The sequence below is a fragment of the Homo sapiens genome, chromosome 18 (genome assembly GCF_000001405.40).
Source record: "Homo sapiens chromosome 18, GRCh38.p14 Primary Assembly".
Lineage (NCBI taxonomy): Eukaryota > Metazoa > Chordata > Mammalia > Primates > Hominidae > Homo > Homo sapiens.
The window spans coordinates 32,463,435-32,473,600 of record NC_000018.10 but is presented as its reverse complement, the minus strand read 5'-3'; the positions used below and the strand labels follow the sequence as shown (position 1 = coordinate 32,473,600).

The window sequence follows — 10,166 nt, the reverse complement described above, 5'->3', positions numbered from 1 at the left end:
TATATTAAATGATTAAATTCTCATATCAACCCTATGAGATGAGTACTATTATTATCTTCATTTTTCAGAGGAGGAAACAGCAAGTTTCCCATGACATTAAATAGAAGCAGAGCCACTAATCAAATCCAAGCCATCTGGCTCTGGAGCTGATATTTTAATTCACAAATCTCAGTTTGTAAAGGTACTTAGTAGGAACAAGGGACCAGTGCATCAATTGTTGCCTTAAAGAAAACTTTTCTTGGATGTTCCTTTTCATAAACTTCAAAGTCCTGTAAGCTTTGCCCCTGCACCAAGTTGTAATGCTTTTGTATACACAGTTTGCATTGTTCCAACAACCTTAAGAAACATGTTTGGAAGTACAGTTCAGCCAGACTGAAAGATTACCCCTCTCAACTGCTTTTTGTTTTTGTTTTCGGCAGTTTAACCAAAACTCTCCATCTCACAAATAAAATCCTTCTGTAAGAGTTCTTCCAGGACATGAAACTTACTAAGAATTTGCAGCTCACTAAAATTTCTTCCTTTTAATACTCAAGATTGAAATAAAACCTTTTCTGCAAGGTCAGCAATAACAGATCTAATGTAAGTCCTTTATTGATTTTTAAAAAGTTGATTACATTAATCTTTTTACTTTTTATCTTGTCTTTAGGTCAAAAGTCACCAGTCCTTTTGTGAGAGGAAACTACTTCTCTTATTCTCTGAAGCTTTTAAAGAGAATATAAAAGTAACAAAGTCATTTTTTTAAAAATCAGCCTACCATATAAGGGTTTAGGATCTACTTACAGGTTGAAAGACCCTTGACCCTGCCCAATCTTAGATGTTTCCTATGTCATTTTTGGATTCTGAGCTTTATTTCCAGAAGTGATTAATTATTCAGAAAAAGAAATTAGCTGGCACTTAAATCTTTAAAGTTTTGAAACTTTTTTTTTTCAGACAGAGTTTCGCTCTTGTTGCCCAGGCCAGCGTGCAATGGCACGATCTCGGCTCACTGCAACCTCCGCCTCCCGGGTTCAAGCGATTCTCCTGCCTCAGCCTCCTGAGTAGCTGGGATTACAGGCACCTGCCCCCACGCCCGGCTAACTTTCTGTATTTTTAGTAGAGACGGGAGACGGGGTTTCACCACGTTGGCCAAGCTGGTCTCAAACTCCTGACCTCAGGTGATCCGCCCGCCTCGGCCTCCCAAAGTGCTGGGATTACAGGCGTGAGCCACCGCGCCCGGCCGAAACACTCTATGTGAGCAATTCTTAGAACTTTATGGACTTCTGATTCTGCATACACTCTATAGTAAAATACTTCCCACTTTTTTCCAAGACTTTTTCAAAAAATCAATGTGAATGACCCAAAGGTCAAAACTTTCAGATGAATTTTGTGAAAATTATCGCTAATGCTTCAAAGTGAGAGGATCAGGAAGGTGGGTGTAGAAGAATCTGTGTTTTTCTTCAAATGTTAATGGAGTGGTTTATTAGCACAGACCTTTTAAGCCAGGCCACGAAAAGGCAGCGGGATGTTTTCAAGTCCCCTTGGGCTGGCGAAGCGGGTACTTGCTGTACCTTATCAAGCACTGAACATTGAATACGTGTTGAAAACAGAGCAGATACGCAACCTTAGCAACCACTCACCTCTGCTATTTTAACAAAATGTTAAGCAAGCGAAAGAAAGAGAAAGAAAGACAGAAAGAAAGAAAGCAGATTAGCATACAAGGCAGGACATGCCACCTTTATATTCTGAGCTCTGTCCACAGTGAGCAGGCCGTGTCAAACATCGGGAGAGACAGAGAATGATTGATCATGCAAAGCAAACTGTAGGTTTGAATCCCAGCACGGCCATCTACGAGTTATAAAATCTTGCCAAACTACCTAATGTCTTGGTACATATACCTAGAAAACGAGAATGATCCCAACCTTTAAGATGAGAAGAGAACTGAATGGGAAAAGCGGGTGAGAACAGCTGACCCCAGCAGCCTCCCAGTAACCTAGTTTTCCCTTCCCATCTCCGTGTCTACGGTGTTTGGTGGCCTCATCAACTCCCGTCGCCTCCAGCAGCTCGTTCACTCAGTGAAGGTCCTAGACCGAATGGCCACCTTCCTGTATGTGGGTACTCATCACCCACCACCTTTCCGCTTTTCGGTGCTTTGCCCTTTTTATCTTATCTAGTAGCCAAAGCTGAGACTGTTGGGAGTCATTTCCAGCTCCGATGGTAGAGGAGTAGGGTTGAGGGGAAACGCCAAGGCGTGCTCCACGCCTGCCGTCCGCAGCCCCGTTGGGCTGTGGTACTCTTCTGACCAAAGTCTGGGTCACCGGGAAGCAAGAGGGAGCGCCACTAAAGGTATCTTTTGTGCCTTGTATTTAGCCACCGCATTGCCAGGATGGGAGTGGAGGCGGACGGTGCCCGACACCACGACTCAGGGAGCGATACCTGAGCTCGCTCGGCAATTCCCGGGCTCCGGGGACGGGCCTGGGCGGGGAAGGAGCCGGGGCGCGCAGCAGCACCCGGCGAGACTGCAGGGCGCCCGAGTGGTCGGACGGGGGAGCGAGAGCTAAAGCTTGCGGAGCGCGCCGAGCCGCGGGCGCTGGCGGCCCCGGCCGGGGAGCTGACGCGAGCCTGCCGGGCCGCGGGAGCTGCGGGAGGCGGAGGCCGAGCTGGGGGCGGAGCGGGCGGCGCCTGGGAGGCGGAGGCGGTGTCTCCCAGAGCTGCGCAGGCGTTGCTCGCACCTTGTTGATTAGTCAGTGCTGGGAGCGCTGCTATGGCGTTTCTCAGACCCGCGGCTCCTCCTCACACGCTCGAGGCGGAGGGAAGGAGGGGTAAGAGGAGGAGGAGGCGAGCGGGCGGCCGCCGCAGCTGCAGACCCAGGGCCAGAGGAGGAGGCGGAGCGGGAGCCGCCGCAGCCACCCGGGCCGCCGCCGCCGCCCGCAGCCGCGCGGCTGCTCTGAGTCTTCTCCGGGCGTGAGGGCACGCGGGGCGCCCCAGCCATGCCCCGCAGCGGCAGCTGAGCCGGGCGCCGGCCCCCTCCCTCCGGGCCGCCCCAGTCGCCGCGCCCCCCCGGCTGCCCGCGGCCGGAGCTGCCCGGCGCCTCCCGCGCGCCCCAGACCGCGAGCGCGAGCAGCGGCGGCCGCCGAGGCGCGGGTGGTGCCGGTGGCGGCGGCGGGGGAGCGCGGGACAGGAGGCTTCGGGGAAGATGGACCCGGCGCCCTCGCTGGGCTGCAGCCTCAAGGATGTGAAGTGGAGCTCGGTGGCCGTGCCGCTCGACCTCCTGGTCAGCACTTACCGGCTGCCCCAGATCGCGCGCCTGGACAACGGTGAGTCCCAGCTGGGGCGCGGGGCAGACGGGCGAGGACAGCCGTCTCCACGCGGGTGTGCGCGCGTGTGCTGGAGAGGGTGGGACCCGCGGGGAGTGGGCTGCCCGCCCCTGAGCGCCGGAGTTGGCCCGAGCGGCTGCCGCAGCCCTGGCGCGTTGCTCTCAACTCCCCCCAGCAGCAGACAAGGAGGTGGAAATCAGAGTCCTTGCAGTATAATTAAAAAGGACGCCCTAAAAAAAAAGTCAACATAGGGAGACCTCTGCAGATCGTAATCTTGGACGCCAGATATCCCTCCCCACCCTCCTGCAAGAATTACTCAACCAGGGAAACCCTGAAGAGTTATCTTAGGCAACTTTCTTGAGAATATCATTGTGCTCCGGGTGGCATCTTAATTTGGGTGCTCTCCTCCCTATCTCCCCCATCCCCCGCCAAACAGATTTAAAGGAAAAGCTCCTGGGTGACCATTGAAAAGGATCACATTTCTCAGAGACCTTGTATTACAGCTTGTCTGTTTTGTTTAACCCAACTGAAAGTAATTTGGGGCTGTGTGTAGAAAATGTTTTCAGCAGAAGTGATGGCATGCTTAAGGTTAACTATTAGGTTTAGCGCATTTCCAGTCTGGAAAAAAAAATAAGTCTCCAAAACGTATTGATTCGGAACCTGAGCTCAGAACTAAGAAGGGTGTATTTCCTGAAACTGACCACCAGAAACCCACCCAACTCCTTCCTCCAACTGTTTATTCTGCGGTGTGACAGCTGCAAACACATAGTTGCGCATACTGTCAAGCAAGTAGACACCTTTCAGTTGGAGAGTGATGACACGTAAGGTGGCAATTTAGGTGTGTTTGGTCTTCTCTTGTTTTCATCATAACTTCAGTGGGCTTTGGCGTCATGCGATTTTAGACTGTTTGCAGAAAGAAGCCTGCCCTGCTGTGGGGCAGCTGTGGAAGTACACGGGCCCAGGCTGGCAGGCAGGCAGAGCTGTGACTACACAGGCCAGGTCAGAAGAACACTAAGCAGAAAGATGTCATTTCGAGTCACAGGCACTAGGGTTACTCCTTGTTTCCTGGGGTAGAAGAGTGGGTAACGTGAGATGTATACATACACAAAGGAGTTTTTATTCTGTTTCTTATCTGTGGGGTTTGATTAGACATTTGTATATCTGATGTGAAAAATAGATGCAGGAAAGTTCGTGAAGGCTGGAAAACAATCTTGGCTTGCTTGCTATCCTCGTTTGATTGTTGGTAGTAGTAGGGTGCATTGGGAATAAGCTGGAAGTTTTAAAACTAGTAATGAAGTGCAGATCACAGTAGCTGTTGAAGCGGTGGGGTGGGGGCGGGGGGGGGGGACGCACAGGTGGTGTGTTGAGGCGTTTCTGCTTCGAGTGGGGGTGGGAAAATGTTGTGTGCTTTAAATAGCATCTGCAGACCTGAACTGGTGTGTGTGTTTGTATTCACAGCGTTTCATTTCCTCCTCCAAAATTGTGTATATTGGCAGATTGTGAGTCCTTACCTTTTCCTACCTTCTCTCATCTCTGCACACTGCCACATTTGCTAGCTAGGCAGAGAGCATTGCTGCATGTGGTGTAAAAGCCACTCAAAAGCTTCATTAAACTGAAAGTTTAAAGGGGTGGAATATCTCACTTTCCGACATGACTTTCAGTTTTATTTCCCACTTTTCTATCCCTGCCATTCATAAAAAGGATCTGAATCAGCAGTGTACTCATCCCACACTTCTTTCTAAAATGAGGACGTGGGTAGCAAGTCTTAACACTGTGTCCTTTCAAGCTGTGGAATGGATTTTGATCACTATATGTAATTCCAATTCTTCATTGTAAATTTCTCTTATTTCCTTATTGCCGCTTGAGAATCATAGTGGCACATACAAATTTGGAATCATTGCCAGATACTGCTTTATACCTTGCTTCTTTCACTTAACAATCCCATCTCATTTAAATATTTTTGTCAACATGATTTTTAATAGCTGCCAAAGAGTCCATGGGCTAAGCTATGCCAAGTAATTTCATCCCCTATTGTGGACATTATTAAGCTGTATTATTTTGTGCTATTAAAAATTGTGATGTAATGAATACTGTTGTACATACATCTGGGAGTTTTTTGGTTAGAATGTATTTCTACTTTGCTGAACAAGCATGTCAGTCCTATTAAAATCCTTGATACACATTGTCAAATTGCTTTAGAGACTAAAGGAAATCCTCGTTTACACCAACGTGAGCATTGTGATAGTATCAGTCTGCCCACATCCTGAAAATATTAAGTATTTACCAAAAAATTCTCTTCTAATTTGATTGGGGAAAGTGTTGTTATAGCAGTTTAATTTGGGTAGACTTTAAAAGAGTCAATCATAGATTCTTTGCATGTTTTTAAACATGTTTCACACAGTTTAGGACAGGTTGAGGACATGCTGGTATATTTATAAATGTTATAGGTGAAATCTTAAGTTTTGTGTTGTCCTCATCCTGTGTTTGCCTTTTCCCCAGTTTTAGTACTGCAGGTACATTTTACATCTGCACACGCCCACCCTATACTTAGACATGAAAGATAGTCATTTTTCAAATCACTTGTTTTTAAAGAGACTAGAACAAAATTGAAAAACATGCCACTAGTTGACATTATGCCAAGAGGAAATGATTGGCTAATTTTAAATAATTTTTAAAGAACATTAAAAAATCTAATTTCACAACTATTGATTATCAGAAGCCTACTATGGGCTGGTACATTTCTAGATGCATAATATGTATTGTCTCAAATCCTCAGCAACACAATTTTTAAGAACTTCAGGAACCTAAGATTCAGAAAAATTGACTTGCCTGAAGACTCGTACCTAGTAAATGGTGGAGTGGAATTTCCAGCCAACCTTCTGACTCTGAAGACTGACCTCTTATCTCAAACTGGGCTACCTCCTGGTACTAAAGGAGAGAAGGGTTGAAGTTGTTCTGACATCTGCTCTAAATAGGTTCACTGTCTCTCTGAGAGCTTGAGGACTGGAAAGTCAATATTTTAAAAACAGTGTAGACACCAAATTAAGTGCTGGCCTCATCCATCATACATACAACTTTCTGCTTGCCAAAGGAGTGGCTGAAAAGAGGCAAGAGGCAGTGGGGAAGAAGAGGTTACAGAACAGGAGAAAAAAAACATTGGGGTTTGAGGGCCTAGTAACGTAGATGTGTCTGTTGAGATGACTCTTCAGGACATTTGCCATCCTTAGAATGAATATTCACTACACAATATATAAAGAACTCTCCAATTCTTTGCATTATACATGCCACTCCTGAAGTGCCAGGTAGATAGATGTGTTCAATATTACATCCTTGATGGTGAAATTTGCCTTTGTATGATAAGATAAATACAAAATAATTGAGCCTTTATAAATGTTGCCCCACAAGTTTTTCTGGAGAACCCAGAGAAAGGTACTCTAGCAATTCTCCTTGGGAGATTTGATGAGATGTATCTCATCAGCTGAGGTCTAAGCCCAGTCAGCAGTGCAATTAAGATCAGATATTTAAACTGATTGATCATCAGTCTTATAAACTGTTGACTTTAGAACTGGGTTCAGCAAATGTGCTTAGGACCAAGGAGAGGATGGAGAAAATACTAATCCTCCACCCCCAACCATCCTCACTCAAAACTGGATGGGTGGGAAATTGTTCATTTTCTCTCTCCTCCTCATTTCATCTTGGATAGACCCTGAAGGCTTGTGTTAGAGTAGCATTCTTACAACCTTTTTGCTTCTATGCCTCCTAAAAGATTTGGTGAAACTCTGTCCCTAAGCACATTTTTCAGTTAAATGCTAAAACTTTTCATTCTAAGTTTAAATGCTTGCAGGGGATGTAATTTCTCAGCATATTGTAACTATTCATATTTTAAAGTATTACATCATTCTAAAAACTCTAGTAAAATATATATTTGATTTCTAATATCATTTGTTTAAAAATTCATGAGATTCAAGAATCAATCTTTTGAAAGTTAAACATTTTACACCTTTTCTTTATCTCTTTAAATTCTTACTCCATTTCTCTTCCGCTGTATAGAATTCTGTCTCAGTGTAATATATTTTTATGCTTGAAAGTATTCTATTGATCACTCTGCCATACTCTCTGTAACCAAAAAAAAAAGTATATAGATTGAAATCTAGTATTTCGTATTTATTTTGATCATAAGACTTTCAATATTTAATGATTTCTGGTTGTTTTTAAAACAAAGAATTGGAAATTACCTGACTTAACAGAAATAGTTGTTACCTAAATAGTGGAGACTTTAACCCTGCAACACGAATCAATATTTTTGTTCCTTTGTTTGTTTCTCTACCCAAGGTCTTTTCACCCTCAGGCAATGCATCTTAGAAAGATGTAGAGAAGGTAATACAAGTGCATTACTTTTGTAAAGTGAGTGAAGAACCATTGTGAAGGGGAGATGGTGAACGACAGGTTCCTTCCATCACAGTGAAGGTCATCACAGGATGGATGTCCAACGCAAGCGTGGACCCAAGCCCATTAATTTTTAAACAAGAGTACGTTTGGAAATTTCAAATGTAGAAACTGATTCCTTTACAGTTGTGATGATGAGACCCTTGGGAAGTGTTAGCTTTGCCCCAAACATGTACCCCAGTTTAAAGAATGCTGGTCTAGCACAATAAAAGATGTGTTAATGGCCCTGTTTGCTGAAAGGAAAAGGAAGACCAAGGCTGCATGGAAAGGCAGGGAGAGGGAAGAAAAAGAGTAGGAGACTGCTAAGTAGGTAGAACAGGAGCAGTGACCGTCTCTCCTTCCTGGCTGTGCATAGGAATCAGATCAGATTCTAAGTCCCGGATGTGTTGGGACTGTGGGAAATTTGGTCCTTACTTTGTGCTCAGAGGCTTCTGCAGCTTTATCATTTACTGGCCTCTAGGAGCAAAAACATGGACACTTAGGCCCCAGGGAGGCTCCAAGTGGCTGTTTGTAAACATCAGAGGTCTTTCTCGGATCCATGTTTTATCATTGAAATTGAAGTAAGTTCTCAAAATCTACTTTGTAATTGATGTCTTTTTCTTTTTCTTTTCTTTTCTTTTTCCCAAAGTAACTTAGTTTTGCTCTTGGAAGATGTTCGGTGTTCATCTTGTGGCTTCATTTCTCCTGGCATTCTGTATTTTAAGAGAGTACACATGGCCAGGGTGGGGGGAATGATAATTTAAAGAATACTGGATTTGGAGCCAAGAGACCTTCGTTCTGTTAGAGGTACTGCCATTTCATAGTCATGTGATCTTGGTCAGGTCTTGTAATCCCTTTGATTTGTAGTTTTCCCGTGTAGGAAAACTAGACGTTATACTTGCCCCTATTCTTCATTCAGTAAATTGTTTATTCAGTCAACTAACACTTAACTAAGCCCCTGCTATGTGACAAGCCCTGTTACAGGTGTTGGGACTATAGCACTGAACAAATCAGACAAAACTGTATGTCTTTGTGGTGCTTACATTCTACTTATTATAGGAATTAAATGCAATAATATATGTCAAATACATGTGTGAGATGGCTGTAGTAGATACGGATCAGTTGAGGGAGGCTTCAGAGTATAGCATATCATTTAGGTAGCAGCAGGTTTTATTGTCTTTGTACAGAAGAAGAAGCTGAGAGAAATGCTCTGGGTGACTTGAGTGTGTTTCGTTTTGAGTATTCCAGGTTATTGATCTGGTAATCCGCAGGTTATAGAAAGGTGGCGAAAGGTCTTTATCAGACAGAAAGTGTTATAAACTGACTAATCTAACCAAGATTGGGCTTCGGAGGGACTGGAGGAGTTTGGAAAGGAACTTTACTTTTTTAAAAAAAGAGATGGGTTCTCGTTTTGTTGCTGAGGTTGCCCTCAGACTCCTGGGCTCAGATGATCCTCTGGCCTCAGCCTCTCAGGTACCTGAGACTATGTAGGCCTGAGCCACCACATCTGGCCAGGAACTTTTAATTTAATCCAGAATCACAGGTGAGTTTTACCAAATGGTACCGAAACAGTGAGCTTAGACACTTACATCTTTTTTTTTTCTTTTTGTGTCGCCCAGGCTGGAGTGCAGTGGCTCAATCTTGGCTAACTGTAACTCCTGTCTCCTGGGTTCAAGCAATTCTCCTGCTTCAGCCTCCCAAGTAGCTGGGCTTACAGGCATGCACTACCACGCCCAACTAATTTTTGTATTTTTAGTAGAGATGGGGTTTCACCATATTGGCCAGGTTGGTCTTGAACTCCTGACCTCAAATGATCATCTGCCTGCCTTGGCCTCTCAAAGTGCTGGGATTACAGGCATGAGCCACCACGCCCAGCCTTTTTTTTTTTTTTTTTTAACCACGTACTCATCATTATTTTCACTGATGGATGATCATTTTTTTGTACCTATAGTTGTATAATGGTTAGCAGGAAAGAAGTGCCTAGTATAATGTTATACACAAAGTGAGTGATTTAGGCCGGGCGCAGTGGCTCACGCCTGTAATCCCAGCACTTTGGGAGGCTGAGGTGGGCGGATCACGAGGTCAGGAGATCAAGATCATCCAGGCTAACACGGTGAAACCCTGTCTCTACTAAAACTACAAAAAATTAGCTGGGTGTGGTGGCATGTGCCTGTAGTCCCAGCTACTCGGGAGGCTGAGGCAGAAGAACCGCTTGAACCCGGGAGGTGGAGTTTGCAGTGAGCTGAGATCACATCACTGCACCCCGGCCTGGGCGACAGAGCAAGACTCCGTCTCAAAAAAAAAAAAAAAAAAAGTGATTTAAAAAACTCTCTTTAATTTTCATTGATATATGGTATACTTTCACTTACTTCCAGTTTTGACCTATTCTGACTATTGGCTGTGCCTAAAAATGATGAGAAAAAAATAGGAGAGGACATTGTAGCAGGC

At 44.8% G+C, this 10,166-nt stretch overlaps 1 protein-coding gene across 3 annotated transcripts in view, besides 1 other annotated feature; it reads left to right on the top strand.

The window, feature by feature from the left end:
- Nucleotides 2,445–2,964: a silencer, noted in NCBI's record as "silent region_9390". NCBI's record gives its function as "represses an Ori minimal core promoter by ATAC-STARR-seq in GM12878 lymphoblastoid cells {active_cell/tissue: GM12878}" and the evidence as "EXISTENCE:reporter gene assay evidence [ECO:0000049][PMID:35858748]".
- GAREM1 (GRB2 associated regulator of MAPK1 subtype 1) overlaps nt 2,719–10,166 on the top strand; it is a 207,361-nt gene continuing 199,913 nt past the window's right edge. For all 3 annotated transcript variants that reach the window (NM_022751.3, NM_001242409.2, XM_017025919.2), the window contains exon 1: nt 2,719–3,293. In NM_022751.3, the coding sequence (NP_073588.1) occupies nt 3,173–3,293 (121 nt within the window). In that variant the 5' untranslated portion in view covers nt 2,719–3,172. The remainder of the gene's footprint in view (nt 3,294–10,166) is intronic.